We start from the raw sequence: 21,877 nt of genomic DNA on the forward strand, positions 1-21,877 counted from the left end.
AACCATTCACGGAATAACGGGTTAATGGATCAATGAGTTATCCCAGGAGTGGGACTGGTAGCTTTATAAGAGAAGGAAGAGAGACCTGCGCTAGCACACTCAGCCTCCTTGCCATGTGAGCCATCTCGGGACCCCGCAGAGTCCCCAGCAGAAAGAAGGCCCTCACCCAATGTGTCCCCTTGACCTAGGATTTCTCAACCTCCATAACTGTAGGAAATGAATTCCTTTTCTTTGTAAATTATCCAGTTTCAGGTATTCTGTTATAAACAACAGAAAATGGGCTAAAACACACGCCAAGAAAATTGAAAGACTGTGGAAGTGAAAGAAGAATAAAAAATGAAGTAATTTTGCAAATGAGTCTGGCTTTATTATAAGTGTATTGTCAAAGTGATTCCCTTTGTTATAAGATGAAAAAGAGCCAAAATGGATAGAAACATTTATCCTATCTTAATATCCCACTACATTCAAGGCAAATATTCAGTCAGTCTCTAGAACTTAACAAGGCCTTGGAGATGATATCCTTTGGATGAGCAATGGAGAAGACAAGATGGATTGGAAAAAGAAACAAACAAACAAAAAAACATGTAAGAGGCTATCAGGAAAACTCTGGAGACGATGTCAATGTAAAACAGATACAAACCTCAAAATAATTTTAATATGTACATTGCACAAAAATGGACTTCTTATCATGTTACAAATTTATTTTAAAACATATAGGAGGCAACAACAATATTTCATTGATGTGTACTATTTTATAATTGTTGGCTCTAATTTTATTTAGTAGAGTCTTACATCTCCTCTCTACATATTTACATCCGGTTGTATTGTTTTTGTAGTACCTGTTCAACTGCACTGAAATCATTTCAATTAAATGCATGGTTGAAAAGCTGACATAATACATTCAATTGCCAAATTGCATAAAGTGAATAAGCTATTTAATAATTTGGAGAAAATATATTCCATTTAAACTTCCTTCTCTATAACCAGTTCATACACTGGACCTTTTGGGCACAGCCATGTGAAAGCTTTTCAAAACTTTTCACTACTTTTTTTTGAGACGGAGTCTCACTCTGTCACCCAGGCTAGAGTGCAGTGGTGCGATCTCGGCTCACTGCAACCTCCACCTCCCAGGTCCAAGTGATTCTCCTGCCTCAGCCTCCCGAGTAGCTGGGATTACAGGCACCTGACACCACACCTGACTAATTTTTGTAATTTTAGTAGAGACAGGATTTCACCATGTTGGCCAGGATGGTCTTGAACTCCTCATCTCAAGTGTTCCGCCTGCCTTGGCCTCCCAAAGTGGTGGGTTACAGGCATGAGTCATTGCACCCAGCCACTATAGATTTTTATTTGTAGTAGATTTAGTTCAGTAGGGCATTTGAGAGGCATAGGAACTGGAACAAATCCTTCATTGTTTGGGACTGCCTTGCACATTGTAGGACATCCAGTACAGTCCCTTCCACGAAGTGGCAGCAGCAGCCTCGGGCTGTCCAAACACCCTGTTAGGGACAGTGCCACTCCCGGAACCACAGAAGAACCACAATCATAGGAGAAGCATACAACAAACATGGTGTTCATCGGACGGTCAGCTTCAGTGGCACTTTTGAGCAAGCACACTATTTGGTTGTAGAATGAGTCCCTGGCAGGGCACCCGAAAGGCTGATGTGTGACTCATCCCTAGTACCTCTGAGAATGCTGAAATCTCCTCCTTCTCCAAGCTGAGTGGCAGCTTTCTGGTCCAGACTACTTAAATTGTGACTTGAGGAATTTTCTTCACTTTTTCCTTTGAGTCATTCTGTTTTTGATCAAGATGCGATAGAATGAAGGATTCTTTCAGGGTCTGCTGTCACATCCTTCCTTTGGGAACAGATAGAAAATCTGGCCTGGCTTGAAGAGTTTGTCCTCAAACATCTGGTAAGCCATAGGCATCAGCATCTCTTACTTCTCCAGAGACATTTAGATGTGTCCCCCATCTCCATGGAGGCCCATGGCAAGGGGACCCCTAGTTGTACTAGAGCTTCCTTCTGGGCACAGCCACACTGCACAGGCACTGCAGTGTACAGCACAGCTCCTCCAGCTTCCGGAAGACTCCATTATCTAGAAAAGTGCTGAGAAATGGAGAAGGGGGTTCCTCTGGGGTGGAGATGGAAAGAGGAAAAGGAAGGGAGAATGTCCAAGCAAAATGAGAGAAGGTGAGGGACAGCAGAATTGAGAGTGAGGGAGAGGGAGAGAGCAAGAGACTGGGTTGAGATGTCTTGTACATGGGGGTGTCCTCGTGGCTTCACTCCCCTTTCGTTTGTACCACTCCGTTTCCCCAGACTCTTCCTAAATATCCCCTTATTGGCTACAAGATCCAGATTGCCTAGAAGCTCAGATTTGCTGACAGCACCTCAAGACTGGTTAATGACATATAGATTTTTTCTTGTTTCCATCTTTGGGATTTGGAGCAATCTCCAGAGTTGCAAAAGCCTACCTTGTTGCAATAATATTTTTGAGGGTCCACACTGTCTGCTCACTTGCTCTATGCTGCTGGGCACAGTGGTGTGGCCATCCAGGGTGGGAGAGACCACCTGGGATATGGAAATTACCAGCAGCCCTGTTTTGCTCTTGCAGTGGTTGCCAAAGCACACGAAGCATTCTGGGAATCTGAATTTCTGTTGTTTCTCCCAAATGGCCCCTGAAGGGCAACAGGCAGCACACATGGACCACATTTTGCCAGAAAAGTCCAGAAAGAAGATGGCTGCTGTTGTCAACTATTGGCATTTCAACAGGACCTATTTTTATTTCTCAGTATATTTGCACAACTAGGAAGCATCTGCTGACAAGGATGAGATGATAAGCTGTATTGATGCCAAAACAGGACTAGAAAAACAGGCTTGTTCTGCAAATGGCCTGCATCCTGAGAGTCCGTGTTAAGAACATTCTCTCTCTGCAGGCAATATCTGCTCTTAAAACATTAACACTTGAAAGGAAGTAAGGCTTGGAATCCTTAGCATAGTTATGCACACACTAGGTTCTCAGTAAGTGCATGCTGGATGAAGGAACCCACACGCACCTTAAGGAGGATGGAACATTGGCAGCCCAAGAAAAAAGTCACTCCCCAGAGGCCGAGTGCCATGTCTTTGACCTCCATTGGCAAGGTCATGGTGAAATGCTGTCTCTTGGGGTCGCTGAGGTCCCAGCACGGTGTGCCTTCACACCGTGCAAACAATAAGAAGAGAAGAGAGGCACACATGTCACCTTTCCAGGCAGGGACATCCAAGCTGTTTGAGTCTCCATTCTGTGATTTCCTTGAACAAGAAAGGGATTATTGGTGAATGAGGCCAGCATCCTGGGTGGGAACAAAAAAGGAAATTGGTAGAAAGTACATCATCCAAGTTGGTCTAACTCAGCCCTGTGGCTTGGGCGGGTTCCTAGGATATCCAGCCGGAGGCAGAGGCTCTAGGGGATGTGAGGCTGCACTGGGTATGATGACACAGAGGACTGTGAGAGGCAGAGAAAAGGGGAGAAGAGCTGAGGCCCTCCTAGCCCTAACCTCCCAGCTCACACCCTCTGCTATCTGCCACCTCCAGGCCAACACCACGGCCATGGGAGGTTTGCCCATTTTTCTGATAGACACATTCTTTCTCTACCAACAGCCCACATGGAACATAAGTGAAGTAATTCAGCAGTTTCCTTCTTAATCTGCTGTCTCTCTGCTGCTTACTCATTCTGTGCTGTTTGCTTTAGATCAAGGTGCCCCAGGGTACCAAAAGCTACATTATCCTATTCAACTGCATGGAAACCAAGATCCCGACCATTCTGGTTTGTTGTTATTGTTACGTTAGTTTTAAACCTTAGCCATTTTCCATTCTGGGCAGTTACAACTCTGTTTACTATGAGTTCCTCTGTGTAGATGTTTCTCCCATACCCGACCTACAAACTGCTACGTGAGCAGTAACTTGTCACCATGTTATCCGCATAAAGTCAGGGATTGATAAACTTGGGAGCCTTTAGCTCTTGAAGGTGCTGATGAGGAAGGGGAGAGGGGAGGAGAAGGAATTTGTTTGTGAGATGGTCAGTGGGCTGAATAGTGGTATGACCAAAAAGTGTTACTATAAATACACATAATCTGGAAAACAAAAATACTGTCATCTCCTCCCTGCAAGGCGCTGTGATTAGGCAGGATGGAGCTTATTGCTGCAGTGTTAGAAAATGCATCCTTGTAGTCCCAAAAAAGCCTGTTCCATCCTGCCCATCTCTTGTTCTCAATACTTCTTACTTCACGGTCACTCATTTTCTTCCTGTCCTTGGGTTGAGGTCTCAACTTCTTGTAATAGAATTTTTTCAGTTATAAGCGACAGAAATCCAACTCACACTATCTTAAGCAAAAAGGGGATTCACTGATACGTGTGTTAGGAAGGATATATGAAAGCTCAAAGGTCAAGTGAAAAAAATGTAAGAACGAAGACCTTGGTGGGGTGTGGTGGCTCACGCCTATCATCCCAGCATTTTGGGAGGCCGAGGCAGGTGGGTCACAAGGTCAGGAGTTCAAGACCAGCCTGCCCAAGATGGCGAAACCCCATCTCTACTAAAAACACAAAAATTAGCCGGGTGTGGTGGCAGGCTCGTGTATTCCCAGCTACTTGGGAGGCTGAGGCAGAGAACTGTTTAAACCTGGGAGGCAGAGGTTGCAGTGAGTTGAGATGTGCCACTGCACTCCAGCCTGGGCGGCAGAGTGAGACTCTGTCTCAAAAAAAAAACAAAAAAAAAAAACTAAGACCTTGTGACTACTACCTACTACCTGGATCTCTCTCTCTCTCTCTCTCTCTTTCTCTCTCTCTCTCTCACCCCCCCACACTATCACCTCTCCTTGTTGTCAGTAGTTTCCTTTCTGCAGACAGGAGTTCCATGTGCTGGGAAGAGGGCCATTCAGAGCCTCGTATTCTCATCCTCTCAGTTTAGCAATGCGAGAAGAAAAAACTTTTGTCTCACAACCTCATATACAATCTCAGAAATAGGCTCTTATTTTCTGGCTTGAGGCTGTCCAGAGGCACCAGGCACTGTGATGGTCTCACTTTCTGTCCTGGATCTATCTGTGGGGCCCAGACAGCAGGATCTATTTCAGAAAATAGGCGAGAGAGGAAAAACTTATGTGGCCGTAAAAAACAGCGGTTTTCAAGTGGCCTATCCCCATCCACATCATAAACTTTTCTGCTGAGGCTTAAAAGTGCTTAGACTTCAAACTTGATCTAAAACAGAAATCCTACCTGGAAAAATCACCTTCCAGTCACTTAGCCAATCGCTCATCACTCTCTGTCTCTGAATCTCACCACGAGTTTCACACGTCTCCCGAGAGAGCGTCTCCTTTATCATTACCACATGTGGAGTCAGCAGATTGGGTTTCATCTAAGCTCTGCCTACCTACTATCCGAGTTCCCTAGCAGGTTAGTGACTTTCTCTGCCTTTTTGTTTCTTGATGTGAAAAGGAACAACAGTGGCTGCTCACAGGGTTGTCAGTTACATGGTCAATTACATTACATGGACAATTCATGATGGTGTCAGACCTGTCTGAGAAAAGGTGGCCCATGTTACCATGACAGGCCCCAAGGCTAACAGCCCCTTTCTGGGTCATGGCTCATACAAAGGAGCCCTCCTTGGTTTGCTGGTGCTCTGAGACTTGCAAATGCATTAGGAATTTTACACTGTAACCCGGTTTTAAATGGGTCCAGAGCATCCCCATTGCTAGACTACTGTGCTGAGGAAGGGCACTGGCTCATTGTTACATCCCATGAACACTCTGGGTCTCCTAGACCTCATCCTCTTTGAGCTTCTCTCTCTCACTCTCTCTCTGCGCATTCAGGAGTGTACACATTTCTGTCCAGCACCCTGAAGTCTCTGGAAGAGAAGGACCATATCCACCGAGTCCTGGACAAGATCACAGACACTTTGATCCACCTGATGGCCAAGGCAGGCCTGACCCTGCAGCAGCAGCACCAGCGGCTGGCCCAGCTCCTCCTCATCCTCTCCCACATCAGGCACATGAGGTGAGGCATCTGTGGGCTTCCTACAGGAGAGACATAAAGAAAACATGCCCCCAAACCTATGTGACAGCTGGCCGGGAAGGACTGGTGCCTGCATATGGAGAGTGCACTTGTGACAGTTCCTGGCATAGAATAAGCATAAATGCTATAGGAGGACAGAAGAGAGAGGTTTTAAATCTGCGAGGGTCACAGGGCAAGTGTCAGAGAAGGCATAGAGGAAGCGATACTTACGCTTGGTTTAAAGCATGTGCTTTGGGGCAGTGGTTTAGAGATTGGGTGCAGTGTGCAAATAGGAGGAGGGGGCCAATCAAGAGAAGTCAGTGAATGTACACATCCCCTGAAGACACTGGGTACATCTGTTATGGTCCCTGTGTACACTCGGATATTCTAAATGAGAGACCCTGGGGCCAGATGCCTCACGGAGAGTCAATGTTGACTCCTTCATACCTGTTGAACCCCTTCTTGTCACCCCCATTGCCATTACCCTAGTCTAAGCCACCATCATTTTCTGTTGGACTTCTGTGCCAGTCACTGGATGTGTATCCCTGCCTGTAATCTAGATCCTTTCTAGATCATTCTCCATGATGTGTCCAGAGTGATCATTCTAGAACCAAATCTGATGTCATCCTCCTGCTTAAAACCCTTAAGTTCTCATTGCTTTTAGATAAAATATAAACCCTTTCACTTTGTTTTTATTACTCCTTATGATTCAGCCCTTACTTAGCTTACAAGGACTTCCTCATGTCTGAGCTCTAGCCATAATAGCTGACTGTTGGATGAGTCATCGGGGGGAGGTTCTTCTTCAGGCTGCAGATTGGCGGTCAGCCCTCCTGACCTCAGCTGGGCTCACTCACACATCTGGGAGGCAGCTGCCTGAGGCCAGGGTGACTCTGCTCTATGCCTCATGTCTCCTATCCTCCTTGTACCCACATGTTAGCTGGGACATGTTCTCATCGCAATGGCAGAGGCATGAGAAAGTGATCCTGTTTGGGCAAGTGCATTTTACTCTTTTCTTTCACTCATGTCCACTGACATTTCATTGGCCAAGCAAGCATGTGGGGTGTCCAGAGTCAAAGAGGGACATGTTGCCGGGGTCATGACTATTTCTGAGCAATAATCTAACCTATCATAGCTCAGATCTCACTCCTTGCAGGAAGCATCTCCTAATCCTTAAGACCTAGTTGGAACTTACACTCTGTTCTTCCCTATGGTTACTGCCCATTTTACTATTTTTCTGCCCATTTAGACTGACAACTCTGTGAGCCATCATTGCAATATGGCTTGCTTACCCAATATCACCTAGCATGATGTAGAGCACATAGTAAATACTCAACAAATGTTTTCTGTAAGAGCTAAGGAAGGACATCAGCAGACAAAATAGAGTCTTTCTATGCCAAAAGGTGAAAGTGGTCTCATTTCCATTCCATTGTCCTGTAATTTGGCTAGCCAAAAGCTTAGTGGATACCATTCCCATAAGTAGACCTCATCTGCAGGGAAGAGATGGGGAGACTGCTGGGTTATTTATTGCAGACTCCAGCAGGACCACAACAATGATTCAAAGTGATGACACTAGAAGGACAGGTGCCAATGGGTGATGAAGCCACAATGACGATGTCAAGTGGTATCACTAAAAGGACAGGTACTCATGGGTGATGAAGCCTACATGACCTTGGGCTTACACCAGGACCCTAGGAATGAAAGAGATTCCTTCTCTTAGTGGCTATGAGGGAAGGCCTATGATGTCTTAAGGAGGTTGGATTCGATCATTTTTAAGGGACCTTCAAATCCTTAGACCGTGATTCAAATGGTAAGAAGTTTGCTCCATTAAACTCCCAGGCACCACCCTTTCCGGAGACAACCTTTAAAAATTATTAGCTCCTGGGAAAATAGATGTATCTCATTTTCTTTGTATCCCTCACAGTGCCATATGTGAAGACTTACATATGGTATATGCCCCCAACATTACTACTGAGTGAGTGAACAAAGAAATGAGGGAATGAATGGATGAACAAATGGCTCATGGCAGGCTTTTCCCTGCCCTGTGAATTCGGCTTCTACTTGGTAAGAAGGTGATTGCAATCTCTGTTCTCAGGGTTCCCCAAGGATTCCTGTGTAACAGATGAAGGAATCACGTCTGTCAGGTAGAGTAGGTGACTGCATTCAGAGTATACATTTCCAGTCTCCCCTGTCTTTTTCTTTTGATGAGTATTATAGAGAGGGAAGCCATGAGTGGATTAGATGCCAAAATCCCTGGCTGAGAGAATAACCTTACCCTGGAGGAAAACATATTAGCTTTGACTCTGAGCTGGGAATTTCGGTGATGTTGTAGATTCAATGCATTGCAGTTGGGTGTTTTTATTTGTTGAAAGGAATTGCTGAATTTTCAAATCCATTAACTGCTTGTCAGCATTAGCAAGCCTAATTAGTTAATACTAAGTAAATTTGCACTAAATATACAACCCTGGCTGATTTTACTGGCCACGTCTGGCAGAGGGCAGCAGCAGGGAGAAAGCTCTGTAGAGTTTCTGTTGGAATCGTGTGAAAAGCTGGAGAGGTTGCTTCTCTTTCTCTCTCTCTCTCTTTCTCTCTCTCTCTCTGACACACACACACACATACACACACACACAATTGTAATAATAATAATATTTTGGTTCCTCACTAAGCCAATCTAAATCGCAGAAGTCTATTTTGTTAAGTAAGCTTGGCCCCAGCCATATGTTGCTACTCAGAGAATTTAATATCAGATTTCATCTGACTGTAAACGTGAATCATCAGGTTGCACAAGGAACACAGTGGCAGATCCAGGGGGCATTTAACTTTTATAGCATTTTAAATGAAAAAAAAAAAAAGTAACACTTAAACAAGTAATTTAGATCATGCTGTAGGCCCTGAATAGCTTTGATGTTGTGTTTTCATGGCAAGTCTCCAACTTGAGCTGAATTTTCCCCTACTAAAAATGCAAATTTTTCTAAGACCTTCTCTTGGTCCTGCTACTCATGATACATATTTCTTTTAAAAGAAATTTCAAACTAGATAATAGTTGTTCTCCTCCCCACCCCCGCCACCAGTAGTGTGGTGGGGCAGCAGAGTTGTGGCTAGTGGAGGAGAGCAGAGGAGGAGAGTAGGGAAAGGAGAATGCCATTTGCCTACATTTCCCTCTGCCCATTTCCCGCTGCCCATTTCCCCCCTTGTTTTCCTGAACGTGAACTGAGCTCTGGGCACTGTTTTAGGCCTAGCAGGGGACAGGATAAAGCCTGCTTCTCTAGGAATTCGCACTGAGGGTGTGAGTGTGTGCACGTGTGTGTTTGGAGGCGGGAGAATAAACACAAATAAATAAAAAGGAGAATTTCAGGCAGTGATAAGAGTGCTGAGAAAAACAGAACGGTGTGAAAGAGGAAGGCTGAGCCTGCAGAGGCTTGAGGCTGCTGCCACTGGGTAGCGGTAGGCCTTTCCGAGGAGGCGGCATTTGAAGACCGGAGGAAGGTTCATCCCAGCAAGTAGGAACAGCAAGTGTAGGTCCCCTAAGTCTTGGGGGAGCTTAGTTCCTTTAAGGGCAGCACAAAAATCAGTGTGGCTCCGGAGAGCACATTAGGGGAGAGAGGCAGGAAGAGCTTGGAGACATGGATGGAAGCTGGACCAGTTGGGCCTTGTTGAACATGGAAAGGCATTTAGATCGTATTCTGAGTTAAATGGGAAGTGACGTGAGAGATTTAACAATGGAGCGTCTTGAACTGCTTTACTCATTTAAAATACCCACTCCTGCTTGGCTGAATATCTCATGTTGTCTTTTTAGAAGCTTTGGCGATCCTATTTGAATGCATTTAGGTCCTATTGGAGGGGAATAGGATCTCATTTGAGGCCACGGAGGTCCATGGAAGTCACCTGCATAGCAAATACCCTGAAAGTGGCTGCAGGGAGAGTGTGAGGGTGGGACCGCCCTGGTAGGAGGTGGAAAATGAAAAACACACGGCCATGAGTTCCAGATTAGGGCTTCTGAAAGCCCTCAGCTTTCCCAGCTCCCATCCTAAAGTGGGTCTTTAAACAGGAAGAAAGAAAGATTGCTAAGTGTCTTTGGAGTTCCTCTTCCTTCCCCTTCTAGGGATTTCAGCACTCCTGGGGCTCGGGTTGGCTCTAAAGTAGTCCTTTCTGTGTCTTCCCACCTACAGTAACAAAGGCATGGAGCATCTGTACAGCATGAAGTGCAAGAACGTGGTGCCCCTCTATGACCTGCTGCTGGAGATGCTGGACGCCCACCGCCTACATGCGCCCACTAGCCGTGGAGGGGCATCCGTGGAGGAGACGGACCAAAGCCACTTGGCCACTGCGGGCTCTACTTCATCGCATTCCTTGCAAAAGTATTACATCACGGGGGAGGCAGAGGGTTTCCCTGCCACGGTCTGAGAGCTCCCTGGCTCCCACACGGTTCAGATAATCCCTGCTGCATTTTACCCTCATCATGCACCACTTTAGCCAAATTCTGTCTCCTGCATACACTCCGGCATGCATCCAACACCAATGGCTTTCTAGATGAGTGGCCATTCATTTGCTTGCTCAGTTCTTAGTGGCACATCTTCTGTCTTCTGTTGGGAACAGCCAAAGGGATTCCAAGGCTAAATCTTTGTAACAGCTCTCTTTCCCCCTTGCTATGTTACTAAGCGTGAGGATTCCCGTAGCTCTTCACAGCTGAACTCAGTCTATGGGTTGGGGCTCAGATAACTCTGTGCATTTAAGCTACTTGTAGAGACCCAGGCCTGGAGAGTAGACATTTTGCCTCTGATAAGCACTTTTTAAATGGCTCTAAGAATAAGCCACAGCAAAGAATTTAAAGTGGCTCCTTTAATTGGTGACTTGGAGAAAGCTAGGTCAAGGGTTTATTATAGCACCCTCTTGTATTCCTATGGCAATGCATCCTTTTATGAAAGTGGTACACCTTAAAGCTTTTATATGACTGTAGCAGAGTATCTGGTGATTGTCAATTCATTCCCCCTATAGGAATACAAGGGGCACACAGGGAAGGCAGATCCCCTAGTTGGCAAGACTATTTTAACTTGATACACTGCAGATTCAGATGTGCTGAAAGCTCTGCCTCTGGCTTTCCGGTCATGGGTTCCAGTTAATTCATGCCTCCCATGGACCTATGGAGAGCAGCAAGTTGATCTTAGTTAAGTCTCCCTATATGAGGGATAAGTTCCTGATTTTTGTTTTTATTTTTGTGTTACAAAAGAAAGCCCTCCCTCCCTGAACTTGCAGTAAGGTCAGCTTCAGGACCTGTTCCAGTGGGCACTGTACTTGGATCTTCCCGGCGTGTGTGTGCCTTACACAGGGGTGAACTGTTCACTGTGGTGATGCATGATGAGGGTAAATGGTAGTTGAAAGGAGCAGGGGCCCTGGTGTTGCATTTAGCCCTGGGGCATGGAGCTGAACAGTACTTGTGCAGGATTGTTGTGGCTACTAGAGAACAAGAGGGAAAGTAGGGCAGAAACTGGATACAGTTCTGAGGCACAGCCAGACTTGCTCAGGGTGGCCCTGCCACAGGCTGCAGCTACCTAGGAACATTCCTTGCAGACCCCGCATTGCCCTTTGGGGGTGCCCTGGGATCCCTGGGGTAGTCCAGCTCTTCTTCATTTCCCAGCGTGGCCCTGGTTGGAAGAAGCAGCTGTCACAGCTGCTGTAGACAGCTGTGTTCCTACAATTGGCCCAGCACCCTGGGGCACGGGAGAAGGGTGGGGACCGTTGCTGTCACTACTCAGGCTGACTGGGGCCTGGTCAGATTACGTATGCCCTTGGTGGTTTAGAGATAATCCAAAATCAGGGTTTGGTTTGGGGAAGAAAATCCTCCCCCTTCCTCCCCCGCCCCGTTCCCTACCGCCTCCACTCCTGCCAGCTCATTTCCTTCAATTTCCTTTGACCTATAGGCTAAAAAAGAAAGGCTCATTCCAGCCACAGGGCAGCCTTCCCTGGGCCTTTGCTTCTCTAGCACAATTATGGGTTACTTCCTTTTTCTTAACAAAAAAGAATGTTTGATTTCCTCTGGGTGACCTTATTGTCTGTAATTGAAACCCTATTGAGAGGTGATGTCTGTGTTAGCCAATGACCCAGGTGAGCTGCTCGGGCTTCTCTTGGTATGTCTTGTTTGGAAAAGTGGATTTCATTCATTTCTGATTGTCCAGTTAAGTGATCACCAAAGGACTGAGAATCTGGGAGGGCAAAAAAAAAAAAAAAGTTTTTATGTGCACTTAAATTTGGGGACAATTTTATGTATCTGTGTTAAGGATATGTTTAAGAACATAATTCTTTTGTTGCTGTTTGTTTAAGAAGCACCTTAGTTTGTTTAAGAAGCACCTTATATAGTATAATATATATTTTTTTGAAATTACATTGCTTGTTTATCAGACAATTGAATGTAGTAATTCTGTTCTGGATTTAATTTGACTGGGTTAACATGCAAAAACCAAGGAAAAATATTTAGTTTTTTTTTTTTTTTTTGTATACTTTTCAAGCTACCTTGTCATGTATACAGTCATTTATGCCTAAAGCCTGGTGATTATTCATTTAAATGAAGATCACATTTCATATCAACTTTTGTATCCACAGTAGACAAAATAGCACTAATCCAGATGCCTATTGTTGGATACTGAATGACAGACAATCTTATGTAGCAAAGATTATGCCTGAAAAGGAAAATTATTCAGGGCAGCTAATTTTGCTTTTACCAAAATATCAGTAGTAATATTTTTGGACAGTAGCTAATGGGTCAGTGGGTTCTTTTTAATGTTTATACTTAGATTTTCTTTTAAAAAAATTAAAATAAAACAAAAAAAAATTTCTAGGACTAGACGATGTAATACCAGCTAAAGCCAAACAATTATACAGTGGAAGGTTTTACATTATTCATCCAATGTGTTTCTATTCATGTTAAGATACTACTACATTTGAAGTGGGCAGAGAACATCAGATGATTGAAATGTTCGCCCAGGGGTCTCCAGCAACTTTGGAAATCTCTTTGTATTTTTACTTGAAGTGCCACTAATGGACAGCAGATATTTTCTGGCTGATGTTGGTATTGGGTGTAGGAACATGATTTAAAAAAAAACTCTTGCCTCTGCTTTCCCCCACTCTGAGGCAAGTTAAAATGTAAAAGATGTGATTTATCTGGGGGGCTCAGGTATGGTGGGGAAGTGGATTCAGGAATCTGGGGAATGGCAAATATATTAAGAAGAGTATTGAAAGTATTTGGAGGAAAATGGTTAATTCTGGGTGTGCACCAGGGTTCAGTAGAGTCCACTTCTGCCCTGGAGACCACAAATCAACTAGCTCCATTTACAGCCATTTCTAAAATGGCAGCTTCAGTTCTAGAGAAGAAAGAACAACATCAGCAGTAAAGTCCATGGAATAGCTAGTGGTCTGTGTTTCTTTTCGCCATTGCCTAGCTTGCCGTAATGATTCTATAATGCCATCATGCAGCAATTATGAGAGGCTAGGTCATCCAAAGAGAAGACCCTATCAATGTAGGTTGCAAAATCTAACCCCTAAGGAAGTGCAGTCTTTGATTTGATTTCCCTAGTAACCTTGCAGATATGTTTAACCAAGCCATAGCCCATGCCTTTTGAGGGCTGAACAAATAAGGGACTTACTGATAATTTACTTTTGATCACATTAAGGTGTTCTCACCTTGAAATCTTATACACTGAAATGGCCATTGATTTAGGCCACTGGCTTAGAGTACTCCTTCCCCTGCATGACACTGATTACAAATACTTTCCTATTCATACTTTCCAATTATGAGATGGACTGTGGGTACTGGGAGTGATCACTAACACCATAGTAATGTCTAATATTCACAGGCAGATCTGCTTGGGGAAGCTAGTTATGTGAAAGGCAAATAGAGTCATACAGTAGCTCAAAAGGCAACCATAATTCTCTTTGGTGCAGGTCTTGGGAGCGTGATCTAGATTACACTGCACCATTCCCAAGTTAATCCCCTGAAAACTTACTCTCAACTGGAGCAAATGAACTTTGGTCCCAAATATCCATCTTTTCAGTAGCGTTAATTATGCTCTGTTTCCAACTGCATTTCCTTTCCAATTGAATTAAAGTGTGGCCTCGTTTTTAGTCATTTAAAATTGTTTTCTAAGTAATTGCTGCCTCTATTATGGCACTTCAATTTTGCACTGTCTTTTGAGATTCAAGAAAAATTTCTATTCTTTTTTTTGCATCCAATTGTGCCTGAACTTTTAAAATATGTAAATGCTGCCATGTTCCAAACCCATCGTCAGTGTGTGTGTTTAGAGCTGTGCACCCTAGAAACAACATATTGTCCCATGAGCAGGTGCCTGAGACACAGACCCCTTTGCATTCACAGAGAGGTCATTGGTTATAGAGACTTGAATTAATAAGTGACATTATGCCAGTTTCTGTTCTCTCACAGGTGATAAACAATGCTTTTTGTGCACTACATACTCTTCAGTGTAGAGCTCTTGTTTTATGGGAAAAGGCTCAAATGCCAAATTGTGTTTGATGGATTAATATGCCCTTTTGCCGATGCATACTATTACTGATGTGACTCGGTTTTGTCGCAGCTTTGCTTTGTTTAATGAAACACACTTGTAAACCTCTTTTGCACTTTGAAAAAGAATCCAGCGGGATGCTCGAGCACCTGTAAACAATTTTCTCAACCTATTTGATGTTCAAATAAAGAATTAAACTAAAGACAACGAGTTTGTTTTTTGTAAGCTCCACTTCTTGCTAGCAGTTCACCACTGATCCTCTAAAATCAAAGTGGTTAAACGATCTGTCACACACAGTGAGTCTGAATGCTAAAGCCTCTCCTCACCTCACTCCCTCTGCCCAACACCCCCAGGTGTATCAGGAAGTGTGTGGACACTGTGGTCAGGCAGAACTGGCCTCAATTCTTGGCTTCACCACTTACAAATTTTATGATCATTGGCAGTTGATTTTTCAGAGTTTCGGCTTCCTTATCAACAATATGATGATAAGTAATAACACCTAATTCACACGATGGTGGTGAGGACTAACTGAGGTGCTCATTAAACATAGTTGCTGTTTTTTAATGCCTGGCCCAAATCCTTCCCTGTGAGGGAGAAGAAGGATGCTTGAGAGTGGTTATTTATGAATGAATGAGTGAATGGAAGAATGAGTGATCTGAAATGATATAATTAGCTTAAAAACCTCTCCCTCATTCTGAAGGTAAAGCAGGAACAATTGGTCCACCCCCACCCCAGGTTTCCATTTCAGGACTCCCTTCCCTTTTTGGAGCTACCTGCGTGCTTCCTTTACCCATTTTCTCAGATTTAACTGATGAATTGGGAGGGGGTGGGTATAGGACTTACTGAGATGCAACATAATATTCACACAGGCTCTGCAGCTAGATTACTGTTTGAATCTTCATTCTACCTTTTTTTTTTTTTTTTTTTTTGCATCACCTTGGGCAAGTTGAGTTCCCTGGGCCTCAGTTTCTTGACTTGTAAAGAGAGATGACAGTGCATCTGCCTGGAAGGGTTCTTTTATGAAGACCACATGGTTCGCTCATGGAGAGTATGGAAGGACCGTGGCTGACACTGCTTCTCCCTCTCCAGAGTCTTCCGAAACTGCACGTTGGACTCATTTCTTTATTAGGATGGGTTGAGGGTCTTCTCATTGTTTGAGTCACATGGATTTCAGGAAACTAATTCATTTTCTTGTCCAAGCATTCCCTTGGCAAGTTCTTCAATCCCTGTTTTCAATGGTTTCCTCATTTCTAAAATAGAAACAAGAATAGCACTTACCCTATAGCAGTACTGTGAAGATTACAAGACTGGACATGTGAAGTGCCCAGGATAGTACCACACATAGTCAGCACTCAATCCACATTAGCTATTTTTATCACAATTATTGTTGCCCTGTCTGAGCATCTACATTTAATAGAATGATGGATATGTTTAGATTTACATTTTTCACGTTATTATCGTTTTGTACATGCCTCCTGTCTTTGTTCCTCTGTTCTTACTGCCTTTCGTTGTTTTAGTGATATTATGGTACAATAAGAAATATATATTTGGTCTCTGGCCCCAGTTTCTGAGACAATTTCTAAAACTCTTGTAGACAGGGGTGCTAGGAGGCTCTTTTGTTCTAATATTTGGTCTTTGACCCTGGTTTCTAACACAGAGCTCCCAAATCCCTTGGAATTTCCTGGGCAATAGAAACTTCTTTTGTTCTAATGAGGCAGCTCCTGGTGGGCTCCTGGATAACCTCAGGATGGGGAATCAGCCATGGCATTAAAGGGTTGGAACTTTCAGCTCTACCCTTTGACCTCTGGAGAGGCTCTTGAGAGGCTCTGGAGAGGGGCTGATGGTTGAATAGATCATCAGTGGCCACTGATGTAATTAATCATGTCTATGTAATGAAGCTGCCATAAAAAACCCAGGAGGACAGTGTTGAGAGAGCTTCTAGGTTGGTGAACACTTGGGGGTGTCTGGAAGACAGCCCACCTGGAGAGGACACGGAGGCTCTTCGCACCTTCCCCCATACCTGGCTCTCTCCATCTCTTCATTTGTCCATCTGTATCTTTTTCATTATATTATCCTTGATAATAAACTGGTAAATATAAGTGTTTCCCTAAGTTCTATGAGCCACCATAGCAAATGAATCAAGCCCAAGGAGGGGTTTGTGGAAACTCCAATTTATAACCAGTTGGTCAGAGGTATAGGTGACAACTTAGTACTTTGCAATTGGTGTCTGAGATGGGGGGCAGTCTTGTGGGACTGAGCCCTTAACCTGTGGGATCTAACAGAAAACCTTTAACCTTTTCCCCCCAAATTGTTAAATAAATATTTTTAGGGTGTCATTTTAATTCCTCTGTTAATTTTTTTTTTTTTTTTTGAGATGGAGTTTTGTTCTGTCACCCAGGCTGGAGTGCAGTGGCACAATCTTGGCTCACTGCAACCTCTGCCTCCTGGGTTCAAGCGATTCTCCTGCCTCAGCCTCCCGAGTAGCTGGGATTACAGGCGAGCGCCACCACACCTGGTTAATTTTTATATTTTTAGTAGAGACAGTGTTTCACCATGTTGGGAAGGCTGGTCTTGAACTCCTGACCTCAAGTGATCCGCCTGCCTCAGCCTCCCAAATTGCTCAGATTACAGGTGTGAGCCACTGGGCCCAGCCAATTTAATTATTTTTTGAATTATTTTCTTAGTGATTGCTCAGTATGCATCTTTTTTTTTTTTTTTTTTTTTTTGAGACGGAGTCTCGCTCTGTCGCCCAGGCCGGACTGCGGACTGCAGTGGCGCAATCTCGGCTCGCTGCAAGCTCCGCTTCCCGGGTTCACGCCATTCTCCTGCCTCAGCCTCCCGAGTAGCTGGGACTACAGGCGCCCGCCACCGCGCCCGGCTAATTTTTTGTATTTTTTTTTTTAGTAGAGACGGGGTTTCACCTTGTTAGCCAGGATGGTCTCGATCTCCTGACCTCATGATCCACCCGCCTCGGCCTCCCAAAGTGCTGGGATTACAGGCGTGAGCCACCGCGCCCGGCCTCAGTATGCATCTTAATCTATCACAGTATATTTCAAATTAATAGTAACTTAAATCTGATGACATAAAATGAAAATATTTGCTCCAATGCAGCTCCATTCTCTTATTACCACATATATTATATCTATATATGCTATAAGCTCAACCATGTTATTTTATTGCCTTAAACTACTTTCTATCTTTTTAAAAAAATTGACAAGAAATGAGAAAAAAATTTATGGACTTTAGAAATACTAATCTGCGTATTTGCCAATTCCAGTGTGCCTCATTTCTTCCTGTGGATTTGAGTTACTGTCTGGTGTCGTTTTCTTTTAGCCTGAAGCAATTCATTTAGTATTTTTTGTAAAGTGGGTCTACTAGTAACGAATTATCTTGGTCTTTGTTTATCTGGTAATATATTAATTCCACCTTCATTTTTGAAGCGCGGTTTGTAGTTTTTTTGAATGTGGAATTCCTGGTTGATGATCATTGATGTTTTTGTTTCAGCACTTTTTGTTTTGCTTTGTTTTGTTTTTTGAGACAGGGTGTTGCTCTCTCACCCAGGCTGGAGTGCAGTGGCACAATCTCAGCTCACTGTAGCCTCCATGTTCCAGGCTCAAGTGATCCTTCCACCTTAGCCTCCCGAGTAGCTGGAAGTACAGGCATGTACCACCAAACCCAGCTAATTTTGTTTGTTTGCTTATTTATTTATTTATTGTAGAGATGAGGTCTCATTATGTTGCCCAGGCTGGTCTTGAACTCCTGGGCTCCAGCAATGCTCCTGCCTTGGCCTCCCAAGGTGCTGAGATTACAAGTGTGAGCCACCATGCCCTGCCCAGCACTTTGTATATATCATCCCATTGTCTTCAGGCCTCCATTGCTTCCAATACAAAATCAGAGCCACCCATGTTTTGATGCTCACCTGTATCTGACAAGTTACTTTTTCTTTATTGCTTTTAAGATTTTATCTTTGAACAGTATGACTATAATGTGTTTTGGTGTAGATCTTTTTGTATATATTCTACTTGGGAATCACTGAACCTCTTGAATGTGTAAAGTGATGTTTGTCATCAAACTTGGGAAGTTTTCAGCCATTGTTTTTTCAAATAATGTTTTTCCCCCTTCATCTCTCCCCTCCCTTGCTGAGACTCTCTTTACATATATGTTGGTATGCTTGATGTCAATCCCACAAATTTCTGAGCATTTATTTATTTTCTTTTGCCTTTTTTCCTCTCTGTTCTTCAAATTACATAATTTCTATTCATTTATCTTCCAGGGGACTGTTTTGTTTTTCTTCTGCCTTCTTGAATCTGAGGTTGAGCTCTTCTAGTGAATTTTTATTTCCATTATTGTATATTTCAACTACAGAATAAAAATTGATTTTTTAAAACTTATTTCTGTCTCTTAAGAATTCCCATTTGTTGATTCATTGTTGTCATACTCTAATTCTTTAAACATGGTTTCCTTCAGATATTTAAGCATATTTATAATAGCTACATCAAGTCTTTGCTAAATCCAGCATCTGGGAAACACATAGTTTCTTTTGACCTCTGCTATTCCTGATTGTGGGCCACATTTTCCTGTTTCTTTACATATGTCCTAATTTTTATTGAAAACTGAACATTTTAGATACCCTATTGTAGCAACTCTGGATTCTTATTCTTCCCTGCTTGTTGCTACTGCTTGATTTTGTTGTTTTTATTCATTTTTTAAATAACTCACCTGAATTAAATATATGAGACTTGCCTCTACTAGTATTTGGCTTCTGATATTTCTGCTAGGTTCTTAAATTATTATTCCTGTTTTTATTTTTAAGCCTGACTTTCTCAGAGTTGCCCCTATCTCCACAGCTGAGCGTGTATCCAATGACTAGGCTCAAACACCCTAACCCAGCAAGGCTTCTGTCCTCCACCGATGGATCTGTATGTGGCTGGAGAATGCATTCAATTTTCAGGCTGTTTTCAACTCTGACTCAATTTTTTGCTGGGCCCCTTTGCATCTCCTCTGCACATGCACACAGCCGTCATGGTCAGACAGGAGTCAGGGGCTAGCTAGCCTGGGCACACTCTGATCTCCCCTAGGCATGTTTGCAGCCTAAGCCAGGAATGTGCTTGCCACGGCCACAACCTCAAGCTAGTGAAGACATTGGCCCTGCACACTCATCCACCAAATCAAGTGAGCTCCCCTGTGACTGCAGCAACAAAGCTGTCGGTCCTTCTACCTGCCTTGTTCTGTTGCTGACCAAACTGGGGGAGGTAAGGGTGGGAGCAGCCCCAGGCAAGAATGCCACAAATCTGCACTGTACTTATACAAATTTCAGCAATTTTTCAATATAAACATTTCTCAGATTGTTATACATCTTTGGTCAACTTGCAGAGTGTTGAAATAGTTGTTTTTGTCAATTTTGTTCAACCTTATAGTTTCTTTTTGGAGTGAGGATTTACCAATACTCTCTCTCAGCCATAGCTGGGGATCTCACCTCTCCACATACCCTGTCCATCCTTTATTTCTCTTATCAGAACACCAAGGAGCAGACTTGTCTACATATGCCATGTGTTATTTCTGGGGATCAGCAAGGTTTTGAGAGAATACTGAGCAATCTATGGAGCTTTTAAATGTACCCATTGGAGTGTGCCAATGTAGGAATGCCTGACTGGGGCTGGATTACATACTAGGTAAAGAGCACATTCTCCAGTGTTAGATATTCTTAAGCCTTTGGGAACATTTAAACTCAGAATTACCACGTTTAGATTTGCTTCTCCAAAAATACAGAATGTACGTTGTATTAGCCCATTCTCACGCTGCTACAAAGAAATACCTGAGCCTGGGTAATTTATAAAGAAAAGAGGTTTAATTGGCTTACGGTTCTGCAGGCTGTACAGGAGGCATGGCAGCATCTGCTCAGCTTCTGGGGAGGCCTCAGGAAACTCAATCATGGCAGAAGGTGAAGGGGAAGCAAGGACTTCTTACTTTGCCAGGAGGAGAAGGCAGAGGGAGGTGGGGAGGCGCTACACACTTTTCAACAACCAGATCTCACAATAACTCACTTACTCACTATCACAAGGATAGCACCAGAGGGGATGGTGCTGACCCATTCAGGAGAACTCCGTCCCATGATCCAATCACCTCCCACCAGGCCCCACCTCCAACACTAGGGATTACAATTTGACATGAGATTTGACGAGGACACAGATCCAAACTACATCATACGCCTTAAATAAGTAAATTTTCATAGTTTTCATTATTTGGACTATGTGCATTAAGAAGCTAGTTTTAAGTTCACATTCGTGGTGGCTTACAGTTAAAATATTTGGGGCTGGGCGCAGTGGCTTACACCTGTAATCCCAGCACTTTGAGAGGCCAAGGCGGGCGGATCACCTGAGGTAGGGAGTTTGAGACCAGTCTGGGCAACATGGAGAAACTCCGTCTCTACCAAAAAAAAAAAAAGAAAGAAAGAAAATACAAAATTACCTGGGTGTGGTGGTGCATGCCTGTAATCCCAGCTTCTCAGGAGGCTGAGTCAGGAGAATCACTTGAATCCAGGAGGTGGAGTTTGTGGTGAGCCGAGATTGTGCCATTGCACTCCAGCCTGGGCAACAAGAGCAAAACTCTGTCTCAAACGATAACAACAACAACAAAAACAGTTGCAATATTTGTGAATACCACCAAAAGAGCAGAGCTGAGACCAGAGAAAAGATGTTCGTTCAAGACAGAGATACACTTTCTAACAGAACTGCCTATAGATAACCTGGGGTGCCGGTTGAAGGGAAGGGTGGGGAGAATTTCCTGCAACGGGAGACACCTCTGCATGGATCCATAACCATGAAGCTACAATGTTGTTGAAAAGATTCCCTCAGCAGATGGAATGTTCTTTGATTTTTCTTTCTACTGTGAGACAGCATACACACCCACATTCATACACACAAAAGCTACGTACCAGTTTTACACCACTTTTTCAGGTAATCCTCACAGCTACCATATAAGGATAAATTATTATATTTTACAGATGAAGAAACTGAAGCCTAAGGCAGTTAAGCAACTCCCAAAGGTCAGAAATCTTGTGAATGGCAGACATGAAATTAGTCTTCCTGACTTTAAACATGAGTGGTACTTCTTAGACCAGGGTTGAGCTTCCTAGGAATTACTGAGAGTTGCTGAGTACATATGGAATTTTACTCAAGGACTAGAGTGAATGTTAGTTTTGCATGTAATGCCTGTCAATGGTAGACTGGATAAGGAAAATGTGGTATATATACATCATGGAATACTATGCAGCCATGAAAAGAATGAGAACATGTTCTCTGCAGGAACATGGATGGCGCTGGAGGCCATTATCCTTAGCAAACTAAT

At 43.6% G+C, this 21,877-nt stretch overlaps 1 protein-coding gene across 25 annotated transcripts in view, besides 5 other annotated features; it reads left to right on the top strand.

Annotated features, from left to right (window-relative positions):
* The window catches only part of ESR1 (estrogen receptor 1), a 472,948-nt gene that overhangs the window by 431,871 nt on the left and 19,200 nt on the right, over positions 1-21,877 (top strand). For 19 of the 25 annotated variants that reach the window (XM_047418290.1, XM_017010377.2, NM_001385568.1 and 16 more), the window contains 2 exons: positions 5,843-6,026; positions 10,190-14,732. The exons of 1 other annotated variant lie outside the window; for it this stretch is intronic. In XM_047418290.1, the coding sequence (XP_047274246.1) occupies positions 5,843-6,026; positions 10,190-10,424 (419 nt within the window). In that variant the 3' untranslated portion in view covers positions 10,425-14,732. Of the gene's footprint in view, positions 1-5,842; positions 6,027-10,189; positions 14,733-21,877 lie in introns of those variants that run through there. 5 more of the 25 variants (XM_047418295.1, NM_001385570.1, XM_047418296.1 and 2 more) reach the window with 1 other exon arrangement.
* Positions 4,377-4,558: a silencer, noted in NCBI's record as "fragment chr6:152414054-152414235 (GRCh37/hg19 assembly coordinates)". NCBI's record gives its function as "represses an EF-1alpha promoter that drives an FKBP-Casp9 reporter gene in an ReSE screen in HepG2 liver carcinoma cells {active_cell/tissue: HepG2}" and the evidence as "EXISTENCE:reporter gene assay evidence [ECO:0000049][PMID:32094911]".
* Positions 6,672-6,966: an enhancer, noted in NCBI's record as "tiled region #5277; HepG2 Activating DNase unmatched - State 9:DNaseU, and K562 Activating DNase matched - State 9:DNaseU". NCBI's record gives its function as "activates a minimal TATA promoter and a strong SV40 promoter by Sharpr-MPRA in HepG2 and K562 cells {active_cell/tissue: HepG2 | K562}" and the evidence as "EXISTENCE:reporter gene assay evidence [ECO:0000049][PMID:27701403]".
* Positions 6,672-6,986: a biological region, named in NCBI's record as "Sharpr-MPRA regulatory regions 5277 and 6602".
* Positions 6,692-6,986: an enhancer, noted in NCBI's record as "tiled region #6602; HepG2 Activating DNase unmatched - State 9:DNaseU, and K562 Activating DNase unmatched - State 9:DNaseU". NCBI's record gives its function as "activates a minimal TATA promoter and a strong SV40 promoter by Sharpr-MPRA in HepG2 and K562 cells {active_cell/tissue: HepG2 | K562}" and the evidence as "EXISTENCE:reporter gene assay evidence [ECO:0000049][PMID:27701403]".
* Positions 10,058-10,559: an enhancer, noted in NCBI's record as "OCT4 hESC enhancer chr6:152419735-152420236 (GRCh37/hg19 assembly coordinates)". NCBI's record gives its function as "activates a minimal SCP1, AML or CMV promoter by ChIP-STARR-seq in primed H9 embryonic stem cells {active_cell/tissue: H9 hESC(primed)}" and the evidence as "EXISTENCE:reporter gene assay evidence [ECO:0000049][PMID:30033119]".

The sequence above is a fragment of the Homo sapiens genome, chromosome 6, assembly GCF_000001405.40.
Source record: "Homo sapiens chromosome 6, GRCh38.p14 Primary Assembly".
NCBI lineage: Eukaryota > Metazoa > Chordata > Mammalia > Primates > Hominidae > Homo > Homo sapiens.